This window comes from Homo sapiens, chromosome 12 (genome assembly GCF_000001405.40).
Source record: "Homo sapiens chromosome 12, GRCh38.p14 Primary Assembly".
NCBI lineage: Eukaryota > Metazoa > Chordata > Mammalia > Primates > Hominidae > Homo > Homo sapiens.
In genome coordinates this window covers 75375140-75399128 of record NC_000012.12, presented here as the reverse complement: position 1 = coordinate 75399128, position 23989 = coordinate 75375140, and the positions used below count along the sequence as shown (strand labels likewise).

Below are 23989 nucleotides of genomic sequence, written 5' to 3'. Positions count from 1 at the left end.
GGCTATGCTTATTTATTTTTAAAACAACCTGAATGTCCATCAATAAAGGAATAGGTAAAAAAGGTAGTACATTTAAGGGATAAATAGCATAGCAAATAAAACTGAATTAACTAGATTTATATCAACAAATAAATCTCAAATGTATAGTTTTGAATGAAAAACCAAGTAACATGATAAATTCCACATAATGCCACTTATAGAAATATAAGACGGAAACCTCCAAACATTGTGTTTTTGGTCTAGATAATCACATATATATTCAAAACCTTAAAAAATGTATTAGAATGATTCATATCAAACTCATAAAGGTTATTTTCTCTGGGGATGGAGAAAGGGAACATAACTGAAGTGGCTGTTAGAAAATGTTAACATTGACTGCACTGTTCTTTCTTTTTTTAAAAAAGGAGGAAGATTTATTTGTAATATTAAATTAAAAATTGATATTACATATAAAACTACAGCCCATTATCTGGTACATGAGAGGAGTCTAAGTCTTGAGCCTTCTCCTAGTACTACCATGTCAGGTTAGAATTAGGAATCACTCAGCCCCAGAACAGCTCAGAAAAAGAAGGGAGGGATTCTGTGCTCCTAGCATCCAAGAATGTAAGAAAGTTGAAGCAACAAAGAGGACGAAGCTAAGACACAATCTTCTAATATTACAAACCCATAAAAATGGGAATAAAATGTTTAGTTTAAATCCTATGAAATTGCTTGCGTTTTCTAGGTCAAAAATGGTTGAAGAGCAATTCATATAATTCAATCTTTATATGATAAAAGTTTTTTTTTTTTTTTTTTTTTTTGAGATGGAGTCTCATTCTATCGCCCAGGCTGGAGTACAGTGGTGCGATCTCAGCTCACTGCAACCTCTGCTTCCCGGGTTCAAGCGATTCTCCTGCCTCAGCCTTCGGAGTAGCTAGGATTACAGGCGCCTGCCACAACGCTCGGCAATTTTTGTATTGTTAGTAGGGACAGGGTTTCACCATGTTGGCCAGGCTGGTCAGAACTCCTAACCTCAAGTGATCTGCCCGCCTTGGCCTCCCGAAGTGTTGGGATTACAGGCGTGAGCCACCGCTCCCGGCATTTTTTTTTTTTTTTTTTTAAATCCACAGCTGAGCTCAAAGGAAGGAAAGGTAATACTCAGGTGCCAGAAATGAAGAGAAAAGTTAAAAGTCCGAGTGGTGAACTCATGTGCCTAATCGGAGGAGAGGAAATATCAGATTAGATATAAATGCCAACAATATAGGAAGAAGATGTAGCCATAGAACCATCTAAGACAAGTTCTGGGACTGAAATATTTGCGGAAAAATCAGGATGCCGACTTCTTCCTAAATGAAGCAGACCACCAAACCCTTCCTAGAAGTCTGAGGAAGTGACAGAAAGTCAGATGGAAAAAAGTCATGTCATGTGAGAAATCAGTTCTAGATCTATCCTATGCCTACAAGTGGACACTATACTTACATTGCCTATATATGCTGAGAATACCCAAACAAATTTTAAATATCAAAACTTAACACATTATAAATATAAAAAATATAAATGTAAAACTGACTGTAACAGGGGAGTAAGGCAAAAGCTAATAAAAATTAGTCTGTAGCAATATTTATTTTTCCACTATTTGGACAATATGGGACTCTTTCACACACACACAATCTCTGCTGAAAATAAGCATAGGATAGAAAATTATAAACATGACAGAGGCTCAGTAGCTAAAACAAGAGAACTGGCACCCAAAGAAACTAAAATAATAAAGCACTAAAAATATTTTATGAAAATATAAAATAATTATGTTTAAAATGATTAAATGAGTGTAAAAATAGAAATCATAAGAGAAAACAGGACACTGGGGGAATATGAGCAAATTAAAAAAAAAGTCTAGAAATTTTAAAAAATCAATTGGCCAGTTAAATATATCATAAAAATCTGAAGAGAAAACTAGTGAATGAACAGCAGTTCTAAAGCAATGACTCTGAAGGAAAACAGAAAAAGAGATGGACTGTAGGGAGAAAATGGAGAGCTGTGGAGAAAAGGAATGAAAAAGTCAAACATACATCTAATAGGAGTTCAAGACAGGGAGACTAGAGAGCATGGGGAAGAGGCAACATTCTATGAAATAATACTGAAGAATTTTAGTCTTAACAATGGACATGGATACAGAGATTAAAAAGAAAAGTCCTGAACAAAATAAATAAAAATAAATGCATGCTTAGTACTAGTATGGGGTAAAACTACAGAACAGCAAATATAAAATATTTAAAGTAGCTGGAGAGAAAATATAAATCATCTTTAAAATAACAACCAAAAGACTAGTGGATCTCAAACTTTAGCACACTTCAGAATCATCTGGAGGACTTTAATTAAAATACAGAGTACTGGGTTTCAAAACCAGGATTTCTGATTCAGTAAGTCTGGGATAGGTCCTGAGAACTTTAATTTCTAACAAGTTCACAGGTGATTCTGTTGTTGCTGGTATAGGAACCATACTGTGGGAACCTCTGAGTTCAGCTAACAAAAGAAACCTCAAAAGCAACAGTGGGAGACAGAAGATAGTGCTGAGAGAGAACAATATCATTCAAGAGTGTGAAGTAAAGATTATTTTACATATAGAAATATTAAGTTTACTATTCACACTCCCTTGCTGAATGAGCTATTAAAAGACGTATTTTAGGCACAAGGAAACTGATTCCAGAAAGTGGTAGTGCAATACAAGAAGTAATAGTTGCTAGCATAAATAATTATAATGGGCCAGGTGCGAGCCTGGGCAACATGGCAAAACTCTGCCTCTACAAAAAATACAAAAATCAGCTGGGCGTGGTGGTGAGTACCTGTAGTCCCAGTACTTAGGAGGTTGAGATGGGAGGATCACTTGAGCCCCAGGGTTAAAGGCTGCAGTGAGCTGAGATCACATCACTGCACTCCAGCCTGGGCAAGAGAGTGAGATCCTGTCTCAAAAAATAATTTAAAAAATGAAATAATAATGCTAAGCAACACACTCTTAAGCAATGAATCAAAAAAGAAATCACAAAAGAAAATACCTTGGGAAAAAATGAAAATGAAAACACAACTATTTAAACTTATGGAATTTAGCAAAAAACAGAGCTAAGAGGAAAATGTATGAGTGTAAGAGCTTACATTTTTTTTAAAAAGATGAAAGACTCCAAATCAACAACCTAACTGTACACCATAGGTAAAAAGAAAAGGAAAATTGAACAAAACCCAAAGTTACCAGAGGAAGGAAATAATAAAGATTGAAGCAGAGATAAATAAAATAGAGAACAGAAAAACAACAGAGAAAATCAACAGAACTATGAGCTGGTTCTTCAAAAAGATCAGCAAAAATGATAAACATTTAGCAAGACTGAGTAAGAAATAAAGACAGAAGACTTATTCCTGGGAACATACAACCTACCAAAAGGTAGTAACGAAGAAACAGAAAATCTAAACAGACCTATAACTAATAAGAAGATTTAATAAAAATAATAAAATAATAATTTCATAAAATAATAATAATAAAAATCAGTAATACAAATCTCCCAACAAAGAAAAGCCCAGAACCAGATGGAGTCATTGGTGAATTCTAATAGGAGTTCAAGACATATATTTAAAGAAGAATTAACATCAATTCTCAAACTCTTCCCCAAAAATGAAGACAGGAGAATATTTATTAACTCATTCTATGAAGCCAGCATCACCCTGATACCAAAGCCAGAAAAAGATACTATAAGAAAACTATAGGTCAGTATCTTTTAGGAATATTAATATAAAAATCTTCAACAAAAACCTGAATTTAACAGCACATTAAAAACAGCTGAATTTAACAACACATTAAAAGAATTATACATGATAACCCAGTGGAATTTACTCCTTGGTGCAGGAATGGTTCGATATATAAAAATTAATCAATGTGATAGAATACATTAACAAAATGAAGAAATGTAGCCACATAGTCATCTTATATGTAGACAACCCTAAAGATTCCACACACAAAAAAACTGTTAGAACCAATAAATAAATTCAGAAAATTAGAGAAAAGTAGCAGGTTACAAAATCAACACACAAAAATTAGTTGCTTTTCAATATGTTAATAATAAACAATCTGAAAGGGAATTAGGTAAACCATTCCACCACAATAGCATCAAAAAGAATAAAATATTTAGGAATAAACTTAGCCAAAGAGGGAAAAACATATATACTGAAAATAAAATATTACTGAAAGAAATTAAGGTGGATATTAGAAAGTGAAAAGACATACTGTGTTAAAGTATTGGAATACTTTATATTGTTAAGATGCCTGTTCTACCCAAAATGTTACAAATCAAGGAAACCCATATCAAAATCCCAATAATGTTTTTTTTTTTTTTTTTTTTTGCAGAAATACAAAAATACATCTCAAAATTCGTAAAAAATCTGAAAGGACCCTGTATGGCCAAAATAATCTTGAAGAAGATGAAAAAAGTTGAAGAATGCACACTTCCTAATTTCTACTTACCAGTATTCTACAGTAATCATTGTGGAACTATTAATAGCATACAGACATATTAGACTAACAGAATGGAATAGAGGGCCCCAAAATAAATGCCAGCATATATGGTCAAACGATTTTTAACAAGGGTGGAAAGACCATTTTATGGGGAAAATAACAATCTTTCCAGCAAATGAAGTTAGGAAAACTGGATATCCACATGCAAAAGAATAAGCTGGACCCTTACCTTACACAATATACAAAACTTAACTCAAAGACCTAAAACTATAAAACCTTTAAAAAGCACAGGGGAAAAGCTTCATGATATTGAATTTGGCAATGACTTCTTGGATACGACAAAAAATACATACAATAACAACAAAAAATGATAAATTATACTTCATTGACGTTAAAAACTTTTGTTTATCAAAGGATATTATCAATAGAGTGCAAAGGCAACTTACAAAACGGGAGAAAATACTTTCAAATCATATATCTGAAAAAGATTAATATCCAGAATCTATAAAAATTCCTATAATTCAACAACAAAAAATCTAACAAGTTGGCCAAAAAATGTGCAAACGACTTGAATAGATAGTTCTTCAAAGAAGAGAAAATCTTGGTCAAGAAGCAAATAAAAAGATGCTCAATATCAGTAATCATTAGGGAAATGCAGATAAAAAATACAGTGAGGTATCACTTCATAACTGCTAGATGGTTATCATTAAGAAAAAAAGAGGAATAAGGAAAATAAAACAGAAAATAACAAGTGTTATCAAGGATGTGGAGAAATTGAACCCTTGAACATTCTTGGTGGGAATGTAAAATGGTGCAGCCACTATGGAAAACAGAATGGGGGTTCTTTGAAAAATTAAACAGAATTATCATATGATACAGCAATTCCAGTTCTGGGTATATACCCAAAAACAGCAAAATCAGGAACTGGAGCAGATAAATGTACACCCATGTCTATAGCAGTATTATTCACAACAGCCAAATAATGGAAGCAATCTAAATATCCACTGACCAATGAATGGATAAACAAAATGTGGTATATGCATACAGTAGAATATTATTCAGCTGTAAAAAGACAGGTAATTCTGACACATGCTACAACATGGGTGAACTTTATAGACATTATACCAAATGAAATAAGCTAGTAACAAAGACAAATATTATATGATTCCACTTATATTTGGTACCTTAAGAAGTCAAATTAATAGGAATAGAAAGTAGAATGGTGATAGAGGCCTGGGAGGAGGGGAGATGGAGAGTAAAGTAATTATTTGATGGGTATGGAGTCTCAGTTCAGGAAGACGAAAAAATTTTGGAGATAGGTGGTGGTAATGGGTGCACAACAATGCAAATGTACTTAATGCCACTGAACTATACACTTAAAAATGGTTAAAATGGTAAATGTTATGTCCTGTATATTGTAATACAATTTTTTAAAAACAACAATTTTTTTGGTATTTAAAAGCAAGGTAGAACAAAAGTACTACACGGCAATAGCATGAATAAGGATGGAAAGTATTCAGAATTTGTGTTCTAAGATCTTATTAATATTTGGGTGGAGTTTACAGGTATTAACTTTTGGAATTTATAAAAAGTACATACATTAAAATACTAAAAATAACCAATAAAAGAGTTTAAATAAGCTGAGTGATGTCCAAATCTGCTAAAGAAACATTTTAAATAGGCCATACTATTATGATAGACTATACTATTTACAGTTAATATTTATGTCCTAATAAAATACATGGGAAAAATATACATTAACTTCAAGAAAGAAGAAAAAGGTAAAAATTTAGGGTGGGACTTTAACCTATATATCAAATACTATTCCTTTAAAAATGTCTATATTTAAAAATATCGATTGTGGGTATACAGGTATATTATTTTATATACCTTATGTTTGAAATACTATATAATTTTTAGAGATGAGATAGAAAACCTATGAAAAGTTGTATTAGAAAGTATTATGTGTTTATTAATTTTCAGGAGTAAGGATAATCTTCAAATTGGGAAGAAACAGAATTAGTCACAAAAAATGGGAAATTAGTTGAAACTCCCAAATATCCCCAAACTCTATAATTGAATTCAAAAGAAAAAGAATTGGCTTAGAAAAAAGTATCTTCAGCAGATAGAACCAAATGCTAGCATAGTTCTATAAGACAGCATATAATCTGACATGGAAATGCTGACAATATAAAAGGTAAAGGAAATGACGAAGAAAGAACTCAAGTATGTCCTATCAAAATAGTATTTTAAAATCAACATTAAAACAAATGACCATTTTTGTAATTTATTCATTTAGCAAGTAATTGAACATGTCCAAATCAGTGAGGATGTGGTGAAAACAGAACAGCTGGTATTTGCTAAATTTGGCACTACCCTTTAGCATAGCAATTGCTATGTGTTAAATTAATAAAAAATATCATACCCTTAATTTATTTATCCCATTTCTGAAATTTGTGCTAAGAACTAATGCTGAAGGAAGAAAAGACATGTCTAGGAAAGTAGTCCTTGCAATATAATTTATAAGTTTGAAGCTTCTAATTCCCTAAGAGGACAGTTATTTATTTGCCGGATTTTCAGTCATTTTAATGACAGTCAGGAAAACTCAATAGCAACCAGGGAATAGTTGAGTTGTTAAATGACTATAGGGTGTAAAAGAGGGGGAAAGCAAGAACCGCATTGTAAGGTAAGGCAAAATCAGGGTCAAGACTAGGGTGAGGAAACTGAGACACTTCCTTAGGAGCCAAATTTGGAATGGGCACAAAAAAAAAAAATCAAGATAACAAACATTTTTAAAAGGCAAAGCTAATGTGACATCGATGATGGAAAAAGCTAAAAATAAAAATTTCAAATACAAACAGAATCTCATCTTGATTTGCACCACCCTGAGAGTGTCGCACTTGTTTTTCCCTAATCCAGACCCAAGGAACCTGTCTTTGTTAAATTTTTTAACATTTTCTTTACCCTTGATATTGATATTTTTGCACTGATTTTTAATTTTTAAAAACCCGTTGCATTAAAATATCATTTTCTTGAATTGGCGCCCCCTTAAAATCTGCACTTCAGGCCAGTGCCTCCATCACCTTAGTCCTGGCCCTGTGTAATATCATGGTAATAAGCATGTGTTAGAGTGTCCGCAGTTTTTCTCTGTGTAAACTTCACGTGTACTTTAAAAACCAAGCTAAAAGTGCGGTTCTCCGCGATCCTTCAGCCTCAGAGCAGTGGCCCCAACTACCCGAGATCCAGGGAGGCGTTGTGGCAACGGTAGTGGAAGGGTCGGCAAACCGCCTTCCGGCCTCACCATGAAGCGCAAGTTAGACCCTCGGGGAATGACGTCGCCCCGCAGCTCATTGTGGAGGTTCACGTACTCGTTGATAAAGTCTACGTCCTCCTCGTCTGGCAAAAATCTGGCGTTCAAACTAGAACCCAGTAGCAGTAGCCACAGCTCACAGAGCCGCAGCTTCAAAACGCCCCCTACTGCCAGGGGTAGGGACTGGGCCCTCCACTCCCGGGCGAAGGGCCTTGCGGCCTCCATGGTCCACCGGCCGCTGACAGGCCAGTGCGCACGCGCTGGCCGTCCCAGTGACCTGCCAATCTACGGAGGACGCAAGCAAGCCTTGTCCCGCCTCCCGGAAGGAGAAAGGGAGGAGGGAGGAGGGAAAAACAAAGGAGGGAGGAGGGGGTAAGGAGGAGGGAGGAGAGAAGAGGGAGGGGAGAGTGGGTAGGGGAGGGGGAGAGGAGGGGAAAGCTAGACCTGCAGAGTGAAGAAAGCTGGTAATAGATGTCTGACAAACTAAAGAAAGACTTGTGTTACGTGAGTAAGCCCTTTTCACTAAACTAATGTAGTGAAATGTTATCCCGAATTGATTTCTGACACTGAATGATATGTCGTTATTAATGAGTCATCAGTTTGTATGGTAAATGCCAATTGCTGAGTAACAGGTCTGAGGAACCTTCTAATTGTGCCAGGTGAAATGATTTTTCTGCGATACAGATACAAATTCAATTAAATTTTTTTTCCCCATTACCTGTTGAGTTGGAAATTTGGTGCAGGGCCTGCCTTTTATTTTCCTCAGGGACAGAATGGAATACAGAAATATTGCTAGTTCTTAAGGCCAAAGAAGTTCTTAAGGCCAACTTAATTGATGAGATTTTTTTCAGTTTTTAAATGAACCTTTGTGGGAAACCACAAAATAAATGGGAGTGAAGGGAGAGTAGGGATCACCAAACTCTTCAAAGGTTAAAACATTTCTACTTCTTCTCTCATCAGCACAATTCAGACAGCCCGGAATATCAAGATTCATCTTTTTCACTAATTGTGGCATTCACAGTAAGAACGAACTCTTTTGTTTTCTTTTTTTGTTCCAGACAAAATTGGCTAATATCTAGCTGATTTTGGTCTGATCTGTTTACCTCCAAACATTTTCCTCAAAAACAAAACAAAACAAAACCAACTTGCTTTGAAGACTTTAAATTCTAAGCATGGAAAAAAAGCAAGTATTAGTTTTGGAATACACGTTTGCATATTACATATTGTGCTTAATAGCATTAAGCAGATATGGAAAATTGACATTGGGAGAGAATTTTACTACAAAACATTGTAACAGGTTAGCCAAACATTTATAAAAAGAAAAGTGCTTTTAAAAATTGTCTGTGATGCACACAATTGAAAAACAATAGACCTATGTAAGATGGTTTCATTTATGCCCTTGAATACTTACTACTATGACTGCATAGTAGTAAGTTTTAAGTGATTGAGAAAGATCAGTAGACAAGACACAGATCCAGCTTTCAAGCAGCTTACAATTTAGTGAATTAGCAATCAGGCAGTATTTAAAACGTGATAAATACAAAGCCAAAATTCTATTGCTTGGTACTCTTGTGGAGGAGCAGGGAAGCCTTTCTGGAAATTGTATACAGAAAGTGAAACAGACAAGTCTAAGATAGCATTCTAAACAAAGGGAAAAGCATGTAATGTGCCTAAGGAGAGGAAGATCCTAAACGCTAGAAGTATTTTAGTATGGCTAGAACCTATTTAAGGGTGAAGGTGGCAAGTGCTGAAAGATGCAATTCTTTTATTATGGTGGTACTGTTGTTAGACTGCAAAAAATGCTAAAGAAAAAGTATAAATAGAATAATGCAATCTTAGATTTGGAAGAAATTTTAGCCACTATTGCTAGCCTCCTGTGTTAGGTATACTCTCCGGAACATCACTGACAGGTGATCATCACATCCTTTTCTTAAATAATTAGACCAACAGGGAAGCCCATTCCACTGCTAGACATCTCATTCAATAAATATTTCCTTGGTACTTCCTGTGTGTCACAGCCCAGCTAAAGGCTCAAATGCTGAACAAGCTAGACATGGAGTCTATCCACAGGGAGCTTTTAATTAAAGGTGACACAGATGAATCATCAAACAGTTACAATACAGAGTGGTGAATACTATTTTTAATCTATTTCACAAATATTTAATGTGTCAGGCACTATTTAAAATGCTTGGACAATATCAACTCACTCAAGTCACACAAATCTTAAGAAATAGTTATTATCCCTTTAACAGATGGAAAAACAACTGAGAAAAAGAGAAATCAAATTGCCTGAGGCCACCCAGCCAGGGAGTGGTAGAGCTACTTCTGTGTTTTTTTTGTTTTGTTTTGTTTTTTTTACCAATTCCTTTTCTAAAAATAGACTCTTTTTTAATAGCAGTTTTAGGTTCACAACAAAACTGAGAGGAAGGTACAGAGATTTCTCATGTAACTCCTGTCCCCACACATACATAAACTCCCTCATTATCAACATCCCACAACAGAGTAGTACATTTACAACTGATGAACCTACATTTATCCATTATTCCCACCCAGAGTTCATAGTGTATATTAGGGCTCATTCTTGGTGTTGCACATTTCATGGGTTGGTATAAATGTATAATGACATGTTTCCAGCATTTAGTACCATATAGAGTCGTTTTGCTGCCTAAAAATCCCTGGTGCTCAGACTATTCATCTCTCCCTGCCTCCTAACCCCGGCAACTACTAATTTTTTTTTACTGTCTTCATAGTTTTGCTTTTTCCAGAATGTCATATAGTTGGAGTCATACAGTATGTAGTCTTTTCAGATTGGCTTCTTTCACTTAGTAATATGTGTGTAAATTTCTTCCATGTCTTTTCGTGGCTTGATACCTAATTTCTTTTTAGCACTGAATAATTTTTCATTTTCTGGATGTACCAACATTTCTTTATTCCAGTAGCTACTGAAGGACATGTTGGCTGATTCTAGGTATTGGTGTATTATTCTATTCTCATGCCACTAATAAAGACAGACCCAAGACTGGGTAATTTATAAAGGAAAGAGGTTTGATGAACTCACAGTTCCACATGGCTGGGAGCCCTCGCAATCATAGTGGAAGACGAAGGAGGAGCAAAGGGACATCTTACATGGTGGCAGCCAAGAGACCATGTGCAGGGGAACTACTCTTTATAAAACCATCAGATCTCATGAGACATAATCATTACCATGAGAACAGCACGGGAAAAACCTGCCCCCATGATTCAGTTACCTCTCACCTAGTCTCTCCCATGACACGTGGGGATTATTACAATTCAGGGTAAGATTTGGGTGGGGACACAGAGCCAAACCATATCAATTTGCAAATGTGAATACAGTTGTTATAAACATCTTTGTGCAGGTTTCTGTGTAGACATAAGTTTTCAACTCCTTTGGATAAATACCATGAGCATGATTGCTGGATCATAACTATATGTTATAGTAAATGCTATTGTTTGGATATTTGTCCCTTTCAAAATTCATGTTGAAACTTAATCCCCAATGTAACAGTATTGAAAGGTGGAGCCTTTAAGAAGTGATTGGGTCTGTCCTCATGAATGTATTGATCCATTCGTAGATTAATGGGTTAATGGATTAGTTTAGCCCCTTTACCATGTGATACTCTGTGCTGCCTTGGGATTCTGCAGAGTCCCCAGTAGCAAGAAGGGCCACACCAGATATGGCCCCTTGACTTTGAAATTCTCAGCCTCCATAATTCTAAGAAGTCAATTCCTTTTCTTTATAACTTACTCAGTTTCAGGTATTTTCTTATGAGCAACATTAAACAGACTATGGCAGTAAGCATAATGTTCAGTTTTTTAAGAAACTGCTAAACTATGTTCCAAAGTGGCTGTGCCATTTTGCATTCCCACCAGCAGTGAATGAGAGCTCATGTTCCTCCACATCCTTGTCAGCATTTGGTGTTGCCAGTGTTCTGGATTTTGGCCATTCTAAAAGGTGTGTAGTGGTATTTCATTGGTATTTTAATGTGCGTTTTCCTGGTGACATATGATGCACCTTTTCATATGCTTATTTGAGTACTGTATGTCTTCTTTGGTGAGGTGTCCATTAAGGTTTTTGACCCATTTTTAAATTAAACTGTTTGTTTTTCGATTGTTGAGTTTAAAGAGTCTTTGCATATTGTGCGTAATAGTTTTTATTGCATATATCTTCTGTAAGTATTTTTCTCCCAGGCCATGGCTTGTTTTTTCATTCTCTTGAGAATGTCTTTTGCTGAGTAGAAATTTTTAGTTTTAATGGCACCCAGCTTATCGATTTGTTCTTTCATAAATCATACCTTTTGTGTTGTATCTAAAAGGTTATTGCCAAATTAAAGATCATCTAGATTTTCTCTTATATAACCTTCTGGGAGTTTATACTTTTGTATTTACATTTAGGTCTGTGATCCATTTTGATTAATTTTTGTGAAGGGTATAAAGTTTGTGCTTAGACTGGTTTTTTTTTCTTGTATATGGACGTTCAGTTGTTCCAGAACCATTTGTTGAAAAGACTACATTTCTCCATTATATTGCCTTTGCTCCTTTGTCAAAGATCAGTTGACTTTATTTATGCTGTTCTATTTCTCAGCTCTCTATTCTGTTCCATGGATTTATTTCTACTTTCACCAATACTATACCTTTTAAATTATTGTATTTTTGCTATTGTTTGAATATGTCCCCCTAAATTCATATGCTGGAAAATTAATCCCCAATACAACAGCATTGAGGGGTGGGATCTTTAAGAGGTGATTGGGTCATGAGAGCCCTGTCCTCATGAATTGTATTAATGCCATTATCACAGGATTGGTAAAATATTGAGGGAGTGAGTTCCTGATAAAAGAGTGAGTTCAGCTCCCTTCTTTTGCACATGTGCATGCACTCTCTTCCTCTGTGAACTCCTGCCATCAGATGACACAGCCAGCAGGCCCTCACCAGATGCAAGCTCCTCAACCTTGGACTTTCTAGCCTCCAGAACTGTAAGAAATTGATCTTTTTTTAAAATAAATTACCAAATATCAGATATTCTGTGATAGCAGCACAAAACAGACTGAGACACGTACCCTTATAGTAAGTCTTAATGTCACGTAGTGTTAGTCCTGCAACCTTGTTCTTCTCATCCAATGTATTGGCTGTTCAGGGTTTTTTTGCCTCTTCATATAAACTTTAGAATAATTTTGTCAGTCTCCACAAATTAACTTGCTGAAATTTTGATTGGGGTTACATTAAATCAATAGATCAAATTGGGAATTACTGATATCCTAACAAATTCCTTGTTCATTCTATTATGAACAAGGAATATTTATGAACAAGGAAATAGAATGAACAAATTCCTTCTTCATTCTATTTATGAACAAGGAATATTTCTTCATTTATTCAGTTCTTTGATTTATTTTATCATACTTTTGTAGTGTTCCTCATACAGATCTTGTAAATATTTTGTTAGATTTATGACTAAGTATTTGTTTGTGTGTGCTAAACGCTATTATGTTTCCAATTTTAAATTCTACTTGTTCATGGCTAGTATATAGGAAAGCAATTTAAAGTAACTGACTTTTCTATATTAACCTCGTATCCTGCAACCTTGCTAAAATCATTGATTAGTTTCAGGAGTTTGTTGATTCTTTGGATTTTGTACATAAATAATTATGTCATCGGCAAACAAAGACATTTTTATTTCTTCTCAATCTATAAACCTTTTATTTTCTTGTCTTATTGTATTAGCAAGGATTTCCAGTATGAAGTTGAAGAGCAGTGATGAGAGGGGCATCTGTGCCTTGTTCCTGATCTTAGTGAGAAAGCTTCCTGTTTCTCATCATTAAGTATGCAGTTAGCTATAGCTTTTTTTTGTAAATATTGATATCTTTATCAATATCTCAGGGAAGTTTCCTACTATTCCTAGTTTATTGAGAATTTTTATTATGAGTTCATACTGGATTTTGTCCAGTGCTCTTCCTGCATCTATGGATATAATCATATGATTTTTCTTCTTTAGCCTATTGATGTGATTTATTACATTAGTTGATTTGCAAATTGAACCAGGCTTGTATACCTATGTCTTAGTTCATTTTCTGATGCTTATAACAGAATACTTGAAACTGGGTAATTTATAAAGAAAAATAATTTATTTCTTACAGTTATGGAGGCTGAGAACATAAGGTTGAGGGGCTGCGTTTGGTGAAATACCTTCTTGCTGTTGAGAACTCTCTGCAAAGTCCTGAAGCAGTGCAGGGCATCATATGGCAAGAAGGTTGGGCATGCTAGCTCTGGTCCCTCTTCCCCTTTTTACTAAGCCCTTTAGTCTCACTCCTGTGATAACCCATTAATCCATTAACTTATTATCCTATTAATCCATTAATCTATGAATGTATTGGTTCATTCATGAGGGCAGAGCCCTCATAACCCAATAATCTTTTTAAAGCCCCACCTTTCAATACTGCCTCAATGGAAATTAAATTTTAACATGAATTTGGAGGGGAAAATATTTAGACCAGAGCAATCTGGAATAAATTCCACTCCATCATGTAATATAATTATTTTTATACGTTGTTGAATTCAATTTGCTTAGTATCTTGTTGGGGAATTTTGCATCTATGTTCATGAGAGACGTTGGTCTGTAGTATTTTTTTTCTTGTAATGTTTTTGCAGGATTTTGGTATTAGGGTAATGCTGGCCTCATAGAATGAGTTAAGAAGTATTCTGTTTGCTTTTATCTTCTGAAAGACATTATACAGAATCGATCACTTTTTTCTTTAAATTTTTGGTAGAATTCACCAGTGAATTTATCTGGGCCTGGTGCTTTCTGTTTTGGAAGGTTATTAGTTATCAATTAAATTTCTTAAATAGGAATAGGCCTCTTCAGATTGTCTATTTCTTCTTGCATGAGTTGTGAGAGATGTGTCTTTCAAGGAAGTGGCCCGTTCATCTAGATTATTAAGTTTGTGGGTGTGGAGTTGTTCACAGTGTTGCTCAGTTATCCTTTTAATGTTTATCAGATCTGTAGTGATGTTCCTTCCTTCATCTCTGATATTGATAATTTATGTCTTTTCCCTTTTCCTGTTAGCTTGGCTAGAAGCTTATCAATCTTATTTATGCCTTAAAAAACCAGCTTTTGATTTTATTAATTTTCTCTATTAATTTTGTTTTCAATTTTATTGATTTCTGTTCAAATTTTTATTATTTCTTCTGCTTACTTTGGGTTTAATTTGCTCTTTTTTTTCTAGTTTCTAACAGTGAAAGCATATGCGATTTTAGATCTTTCTTCTTTTCTAATATATTTATTCAATGCTACAAATTTACCTCTAAGCAATGCTTTGCTGCATCCCACAAATTTTGCCAAGTTGTTTTCATCTTCATTTATTTAAAAATATTTTCAAATTTCTTTTGAGATTTTTTCTTTGGACCATGTGTTATTTAGAAGTGTGCCATTTAATCTCTTATTTTGGAATTTTATGGTTATCATTCTGTTACTGATTTCTAGTTCAATTACTAGTGGTCTGAGAGCAGGCATTACATGATTTCTATTCTAAATTTGTTAAGGTGTGTTTTATGGTCCAGAATATAGTTTATTTTGGTAAATGTTTCATATGAGCTCGAGAATATATATTCTGCTATTGTCGAATAATGTATAGACGTCTTATTACATCCAGGTGATTGATGTTGTTGTTGAGTTTAACTATGTCCTTACTGATTTTCTGCCTGCTGAATCTATACATTTCAGATAGAGGTGTTTTGAAGTCTCCAACTATAATAGTAGATTCGTCTATTTCTTCTTGTCATTCTATCAGTTTTGTCTCATATATTTCTACACTCTCTTGTTAGGTGCATATACATTAAGGATTGTAATGTCTTCTTGGAGAATTAACCCCTTTATTATTATGTAATGCCTCTGTTTAATCCTGATAACTTTCCTTGTTTTGAAGTTGGCTGCAGCCAAAATTAATATAGCTATCTTGGTTTCTTTTGATTAGTGTTGTAAAGCTAGATTTTAAGCCCAGGTGACTAAGATAGGAGTATGGAAGGACACACAAAAGCATCTCATTTGGTTTCTGTAGAAAGAAGTGGGGTTTGCTGACAATGTTCTGCAAATATTCAATCTTTCGTATCTGTCAGTGAATCAGCTCCCATTATATACTTCATATAAAAAAATTTTAATGCATTATATTCTATGATATATATTTTCAAAAAATTTAAAGAGGCATGTAATACATGAGAATTATTTAATCATAGTTTCATGAAATACGTATTAAATCACAGGTTGTGTACATTTTCTAATAAGGTTTGAATGGTTGTAGATTTTTGAACTTTGAAATTTGGGGCAAAACAGTTTTAAGTTATTTTATATTGAAAGTGATGGAAATAATTTATCACATTCGGTTTCCTGAGGGCATTGGAATTGTTAGAGGGTATTGACAGAGTCATTTATTTCTTTACAAGGAATGTGGAAAATAAGGTTTCATTAAATTATTTAAATTCTGCTACTTATATACTTTTTGCATACCCATTTAATATTTCTGTTGTCATGTATAACAGATATAGCTTTAATTTTAAAAACAAGAGCAATTTTGGGATAAACTTTAAGCCTCTTGCTTATCTCAGATGATTTGTGAGTTTCCTTAAGTTCTCAGTTTCTGTACACTTGTACACTGCACTTGAAATTATTTTTTAAAATTCTTCTTCTTTTTTTTTTTGAGATGGAGTCTCACTCTGTCGCCCAGGCTGGAGTGCAGTGGCATGATCTTGGCTTACAGCAACCTCCGCTTCTTGGGTTCAAGTGATTCTCATGACTCAGCCTCCTGAGTAGCTGGGACTACAGGCATGCACCACCACACCCAGCTAATTTTTGTATTTTTAGTAGAGATGGGGTTTCACCATGTTGGCCAGGCTGGTCTTGAACTCCTGACCTCGGGTGATCTACCCACCTTGGCCTCCCAAAGTGCTGGAATTATAGGCGTGAGCCACCATGCCTGGTCTACACTTGAAATTTTAAGGAAATAATACTCTAATTCCATATGCTTTTTGATTTGGATAAAAGCTAGCAAATTTAAAAATGTATTTTTAATCTACATTTACTGAAAATGATCATGGGATAAGACTGAAGATACTAAAATGTATTATTTTGTTCTCTGTATAGATGTTATTAGAAACATTGTTTTTATTTTATTGACTCTTTCTCATTGTTTCTTTACATACTCGATTGATCTTTTCTATAATTCAAATTTAAGATTCAGATAATTGTGCATGAGAAGCATTAAAGGAGAAAAGCAAAATGATCCACACATAAAAGCCAACTTTGAAAGGTAGAAAGATAGACTTTACTTCGTTAAAATGTAAAATAGGGCAACTGAGAAATTTGCTAGATAAATGTCCAAGGATTAAAATCCCAGATGCACAGGGAGCCATTCAAATTTCATAAGAGGCTGGGTGTGGTGGCTCATGCCTGTAATCCCAGCACTTTGGGCAGCCGAGGTGGGCAGATCACGAGGTCAGGAGATCGAGACCATCCTGACCAACATGGTGAAACCCTGTCTCTACTAAAAATACAAAAATTAGCTGGGCATGGTGACACATGCCTGTAGTCCCAGCTACTCGGGAGGCTGAGGCAGGAGAATCGCTTGAACCTGGGAGGCGGAGGTTGCAGCGGGCCGAGATTGTGCCACTGCACTCCAGCCTGGTGACAGAGCGAGACTCTGTCTCAAAAAAAAAAAAAAAAAAACACTTAAGAAAATGAATAACAGCAGCACCATTAGAAAAATAGAGGAAGAAAATGAACAGGTAATATACCAAAAAAAAAAAAAAAAGTCTAAATAACAGTGTAGTTGAAATATTCATCCTGCATCTACTCTTTTCACATATAGGTATGATGGAGTGTATATAACTAGATTCCAGGAGGAATTTGGACCTCTGGAACTAAAGTATCGTTTGTCGCTGTATTAGTTTGTTTTCATGCTGCTGATAAAGACATACCTGAGATTTGGCAATTTACAAAAGAAAGAGGTTTAATTGGACTTAGTACGGTTCCGCATGGCTAGGGAAGTTCTCACAATCATGGCAGAGGGCTAAAGCCACTTCTTACATGGCGGCGACAAGAGAGAATGAGGAAGAAGCAAAAGCAGAAACCCTTGATAAACCCATCAGATCTCATGAGACTTATTCACTGTCATGAGAATAGCACAGGAAAGACTGGCCCCTGTGATTCAGTTACCTCCCCCTGGGTCCCTCCTACAACATGTGGGAATTCTGGGAGATACAATTCAAGTTGAGATTTGGGTGGTGACACAGCCAGACCATATCAGTCTCTAAAAGACTGAGCCATAAAATTGAGTATAAATCCGAGACTATTTATATTAAAATTTGACTCCTGAATGTACATTACTTCTGTATTCATTAGGTCAATATGAAGTATGGTCATATGTTTGAAACAACTTCCTGTAATCTTTTCATCAAAGGTGAAAATAAGATTCCTAGCCTTTCTTAATAACTCTCAAACAATATATTGGTAAATTTGAATGTAGTTTATGAAAATATGTTTAGCTTTACTGGTAGTTCAAGGAATAAAAATTAATAGCATCTACCTCATTATTGAGGGAATTATATAAGTTATTAGATGTAAGGCACTTAGTGCTTGGCATAGTAATACCTACTGTTAGGTATTACTATTATTAAATTTAAATACTCTTATTTTCACTCATTGAATTCACAAGAACTAAAAATAATTATTAACACTTAGCATGGTGCCAGATATTATGCATGCTTAATAAATGTTTTTTTATATTAGTTTTCATGAGAGCATGCTTAATAAATATTTATTGAGTTATTCTTATAATAATCAATGTAGTTTCCCTAGCTGCAAGAAGCAAACCCAGTGAATATAACTACAGGTGAGTTGCTGGTAGTTTTAGTCTGGAGGACATTGGCAAGTGATATGTTGCTTTCCTGAGAGAAAATGGGAGTTCCACTCGAAGTGATGATAATGGAATTTATTTATTTCCCCTGGTACAGTTAGTGATCACAGGTAAATTTAATTACAGTTCAAATTACCTAGTTTTAACTAAGCAAACCATCTCAAAATGATCACATATCCTGCAAAAATTGCTAAGAGGAAATTGCCGATTCAATATAGTTGTCAAGATACAAATGCAAGCAAATAATATAAAACCGTCAGAAGTGTTTCTTTTTATATTCCTGGCATAAACATCTCTTTAACACTTATTTTTAAATTTATTTTACCTCATCCTTTTTAGGTTCAATTGTTATGTATTTTGTAATATATTACTTTATTATAAAAATATACATAATACATTTAGTTAAATGTACATATAGTACCTTTTGATTTAATCGAAGGGTTACCACTTCCACATTTGTTAGAGAATGTCCTAGTCTGGGCATGTTTTCTTATGTTCTAGGAAACCTCTCAGTCTCAGGCAAACTAGGATTTTTGGTCACTCTACAATTTTTTTTTTTTTTTTTTTTTTTTACTGATAGGGATGCATCATAATAATAATAAACTACAGAGAATACTGTTTAAACTATCTCTTCACCATTTCTCCCAAGAGGTAGAAAACTGGCCCAACTATTATTGGCAAATCTGATTTCTTTGTTTCATATTTTGAAGTGATTCAGCAATTTCTGGGAACACACACTTACTTGAGTTTGACAACCCAAACTTGTCCTAGCAGGACGAGAGAATCTCCTGAAAAATGCACTACTTAAATCTTGAGTTAACTATTCTCAGTAGTTTGAAAAAGCTAAGCCTAGAGCAGTTTGTCTAGCAATTCCAAACTAAGTGAAATAGGAGGGTTACTTAAAGTCACTATCAACAGTCTATTCAGAGTAAAGGAACCTCAAGCAATGACAGGCTTCCCAAGATGTCCTGTCAAGAGGCTGTTGTTAAGATCACAAGAAATAAAAAAGACATGTCCTTGGCCCAGAATTTTCTCTTCTTGACAATAAGAGGAAAGCCCACTAATAAGATGGAGATGCTCTGCCTTTCTAGCCTCTGCTCATAGCTTTAGCATGGACCCAAAGTCCTGTGAATAAACTCCATTTTCTGAGAACTGTCACAACTTGAAAGTTCCTATAGCAGTGCTAATTTAACACTCTGACAAGTACCTCTTCATCAGGGAATATAATTCTGTAAAAAAATTTTAAATTTTAAATTTGAATCTGACTTAAAGAAAATCATATGCTCTTGAATGAATAAGTATAAAGGGGTAAAGGAGTAATTATATTAAAAATCAGAGGATGTTTTAATTATTAATGAAAATGTTTAATTAAAATACATGAAGATAACAAAATGATAAACAAAGCAATAGGTAGAAAAATATACTCTACATACATGTGAATTTACCTTTAGGTTATTTCATACCACAAGTTAAAAAGCAAGTAATTATGAATGAGAATTTTAACAATGCAATAGTTAAACAAATAGTGAAAGCTTACGTTACTAAAAATATAAGACTCTATATACATGATGTCAAATAGTAATGTGATGGTTAGTTTTGTGTGTCAATGTGGCTGGTCTACAGTGACCAGTTGTTTGGTTGTACTAGTCTAGATGTTGCTGTAAAGATATTTTTTTAGATGTGATTAAAATTTATAATCAGTTGACTTCAAGTAAATCAGATTATCCTTTTTGATGTGAGTGGACCTCATTCAACCAGTTGAAGGCCTTAAGTACAAAGACTGAGTTTTTCTTAAAAAGAAATCCTGCCTCCAGACTGCAACATAAACATTTTGCCTGAGTTTTCAACATTTGGACTAGAGATTGCAACAGCAACTCTCACTTAAATCTCCATCCTGACAGCTTGCCCTAAAAATTTCCACTTGTTAGCCCACAGGATCCTGTGAGCCAATTACTAAAAATCTCTTTCTGCCTCTCCCTCTCCCACTCCACCTCTTCCTCTTTCTCTCCTTCTCCCTCTCCCCCTTTCTCTCCGCTATTGGTTGTGTTTCTCTGGAGAACACTGACAGATGTAAGCAGACTTAAATATAAAACTACTTGGCTTCTTTATAAAAGATAGCACCAATCGGCCAGGCGCAGTGGCTCATGCCTATAATCACAGCACTTGGGGAGGCTGAGGCAGGTGGATTGCTTTGAGCTTAGGAGTTCAAGACCAGCCTGGGCAACGTGGCAAAACCCCATCTCTACAAAAAAATGCAAAAATTAGCCAGGCGTGGTGGCACGTGCCAGTGGTCCCAGCTACTCGGGAGGCTGAGGTGGGAGAATTGCTTGAGCCTGGTAGGTGGAGGTTGCAGTGAGCCAAAATTGCACCACTGCACTCCAGCCTGGGTGACAGAGTGAGACCCTGTCTCAAAAAGAAAAAAAAGTATCAATCACCCAGCTTTGTGGAAATTCCTAGATATCTGACAATATATACAAAACAATGTTCAGTTCTATTAAAAATACATTTAAAATGATTATATATATTACAGATATTTTATATATATATAGACACACACACACACGCATATATATATATATATATATCTGTGATGGTTAATATTAAGTATCAACTTGATTGGATTGGAGGATGCAAAGTATTGTTCCTGGGTGTGTTTGTGAGAGTGTTGCTAAAGGAGATTAACATTTGAGTCAGTGGACTGGGAGAGGCAGACCCACCCTCAATGTGGGTAGGTACCATCCAGTCAGCTGCCACTGTGGCTGGAATAAAGCAGGCAGGAGAAGGTGGAATGAGCCGACTTGTGAGTCTTTCAGCCTTCATCTTTCTCCTGTGCTGGGTGCTTCCTGCCCTCAAACATCAGACTCCCGCCTCTTCAGCTTTTGGAGTCTTGGATTTACACCAGTGGTTTACCAGGGGCTCTCGGGCCTCTGTTCACAGACTGATGGCTGCATTGTGGGCTTCCTGACTTTTGGGGTTTTGGGACTTGGGCTGAGCCACTGCTGGCTTCCTTGCTTCTTAACTTACAGATGGCCTATCGTGGGATTTCACCTTGTGATTGTGTGAGTAAATTATCCTTAATAAACCCCTTCCATATATGCACATATCCTAGTAGTTCTGTCCCTTTAGGGAACCCTGCCAAATACAGATTTTGGTACCAGGAGTGGTTTTAGAGGAACAGAATTTAAAGGATGGATTTCTTTAGTTGGTTTTGGGGTTTCTGGAGTTGGCTGCTTAATCTGATTAGACTCAAAAATGCTAAGGACTCTACTTCTAATAGGATGGAGAGCACTGATAGTTCTTGGCATGAACTGTTTAAAGAGTTATGCAAAATAAATGCATTGATACTCCTGATTCAATGCTCTTGAGAAACAAGGAGTTTAGTGACTGTATACGTAATACCTTCAACTATATGTGGAGAATCAAGGAATATAATAAAGTTGGTTGGTTGCTTCTAAATTCCCTGGACAAAATGATGAAAGAAAATGATGAGCTCAGGGATTCTAATTCCCAGCTCCAGAAGCCCATACTGAGCCTCAGATCGTCTAAGATTGCCCTGAGTGAGAGTCTTAACTCCTGAAGACAAAGGGCTAAATTGTGGAAAATCAGACAAAAGCTCTTATCATGCGAGTGGCTGACCTGCAATGAAAGGTGCACGCTCAGCCTCACCAGGTATCTATTGTTAAAATGAGGACATTGATTGGAAAAGAATGGGACCCTACAACTTGGAATGGGGATGTGTGGGAGGACCCTGATGAGGGATGAGGCTGGGGGCACTGAGCTCCTAAATTCTGATGAGCCTTTTTTGCCAGAGGTGGTAGCAATATCCCTTCTCGCATCCATACTGCCATCAGCCTTTCCACCTTTCAGGAGATTAACCCTGTACTGCCTGAGGCAGTTGCCAGGCAAGACAAAGCTGATTCTCCTCAGGACACATCCTCAACACTGCTGTTTGCTTCTAGACCTATAATTAGACTCAAGTCCCAGCAGGCCCCTAGAGGTAAGGTTCAGGGTGTGACCCATGAAGAAGTGCACTACACTCCAAAAGAATGGCTTGAGTTTTCTAATTTATGTAAGCAGAAATCTGGAGAACAGGTATGGGAATGGATATTAAGGGTGTGGGATAATGGTGGAAGAAACATAAAGTTGGATCGGGCTGAATTTATTGATATGGGCCCACTAAACAGGGATTCTTCATTTAATGTTGCAGCTTGGGGAGTTAAAAAAAGTTCTAATAGTTTATTTGCTTGGTTAGCTGAAACATGGATCAAACGATGGCCCACTGTGAGTGAGCTGGAAATGCCAGATGTCCCTTGGTTTAATGTAGACGAAGGGATCCAAAGGCTTAGAGAGATTGAAATGCTAGAGTGAATTCATCACTTTAGACTTACTCATTCCAACTGGGCGGATCCAGAAGACATACCCTTCACCAATACCTTGCAAAACAGATTTGTGAGGGGAGTACCTGCATCCTTGAAGTCTGCAATTGCTCCTCTCCGTATGCCAGATCTTACAGTGGGAACCACAGTCACTCAATTGGAAAACTTACATTCAATGGGAATAATTGGATCCCGAGGTGGCAGGGGCCAAGTAGTGGCACTCAACCGTCAAAGACAAGGTGGGCATAATTACCATAATGGACAGCACAGCCAAAGCAGCAATCAGAATAGTATGACTCATGTAGACCTCTAGCACTGGCTAATTAATTACGGTGTTTCTAGAAGTAAAATTGATAGGAAGCCTACAGCATTGTTACTTAATTTATATAGGCAGAAAACTTTCAGGTCGAGTGGACAAAAGACTAATTTGTATTATAAAAATAGCAAATCACAGACCCTCAATCAGTTTCCAGACTTGAACCACTTTCAGACGCAGAACTCCTTGAATAAAGAGGAGGCTGGATCCCCTTGAAGAAGGACCCCACTATACTACCAAAAATTTGTACTGTTCATCTTCTTCCCATCCTTCTCCAAGGAGAACTCTGGCTTTTTACCAGGGTAACTATGCACTGGGGAAAGGGGACTGATGAGACCTTGCAGGAACTACTGGATATTGGCTCTGAGCTGACATTGATTCCCGGGGATCCAAAACATCATTGTGGTCCTCCAGTTGAAGTAGGGGCTTATGGAGGTCAGGTAATTAATGGAATTTTAGCTCAGTTCTGACTCACAGTGGGGCCAGTGGGTCCCTGGATGAATCTTGTGGTCATTTTCCCAGTGCCAGAATGCGTAATAGGCATAGACATACTTAGCAGCTGGCAGAATCCCCACATTGGCTCCCTGACCAATA

The 23989-nt window shown here is 35.9% G+C and overlaps 2 protein-coding genes across 30 annotated transcripts in view, besides 4 other annotated features; one reads left to right on the top strand and one right to left on the bottom strand.

Annotated features, from left to right (window-relative positions):
• GLIPR1L2 (GLIPR1 like 2) overlaps positions 1-8040 on the bottom strand; it is a 41600-nt gene extending 33560 nt beyond the window's left edge. For 4 of the 6 annotated variants that reach the window (NR_072995.2, NM_001270396.2, NM_152436.3 and 1 more), the window contains exon 1: positions 7779-8040. Coding sequence is in view for 2 of the 6 variants with exons in the window: in NM_001270396.2 (NP_001257325.1) it covers positions 7779-8012 (234 nt within the window). In the remaining 4 variants the exon portion in view is untranslated. The remainder of the gene's footprint in view (positions 1-7778) is intronic. The other 2 variants (XM_011537949.2, XM_047428338.1) reach the window with 1 other exon arrangement.
• Positions 7979-8108: an enhancer, noted in NCBI's record as "active region_6668". NCBI's record gives its function as "activates an Ori minimal core promoter by ATAC-STARR-seq in GM12878 lymphoblastoid cells {active_cell/tissue: GM12878}" and the evidence as "EXISTENCE:reporter gene assay evidence [ECO:0000049][PMID:35858748]".
• Positions 7979-8238: a biological region, named in NCBI's record as "ReSE screen-validated silencer GRCh37_chr12:75784671-75784843".
• Positions 8066-8238: a silencer, noted in NCBI's record as "fragment chr12:75784671-75784843 (GRCh37/hg19 assembly coordinates)". NCBI's record gives its function as "represses an EF-1alpha promoter that drives an FKBP-Casp9 reporter gene in an ReSE screen in K562 erythroleukemia cells {active_cell/tissue: K562}" and the evidence as "EXISTENCE:reporter gene assay evidence [ECO:0000049][PMID:32094911]".
• CAPS2 (calcyphosine 2) overlaps positions 8228-23989 on the top strand; it is a 114923-nt gene continuing 99161 nt past the window's right edge. For 17 of the 24 annotated variants that reach the window (NR_149156.2, NR_149158.2, NR_149155.2 and 14 more), the window contains exon 1: positions 8228-8291. Coding sequence is in view for 2 of the 24 variants with exons in the window: in NM_001355026.2 (NP_001341955.1) it covers positions 8259-8291 (33 nt within the window). In the remaining 22 variants the exon portion in view is untranslated. Of the gene's footprint in view, positions 8808-23989 lie in introns of all 24 variants that reach the window. The other 7 variants (NR_149160.2, NM_001355023.4, NM_001355025.2 and 4 more) reach the window with 2 other exon arrangements.
• Positions 22074-22645: an enhancer, noted in NCBI's record as "OCT4-NANOG hESC enhancer chr12:75770264-75770835 (GRCh37/hg19 assembly coordinates)". NCBI's record gives its function as "activates a minimal SCP1, AML or CMV promoter by ChIP-STARR-seq in naive H9 embryonic stem cells {active_cell/tissue: H9 hESC(naive)}" and the evidence as "EXISTENCE:reporter gene assay evidence [ECO:0000049][PMID:30033119]".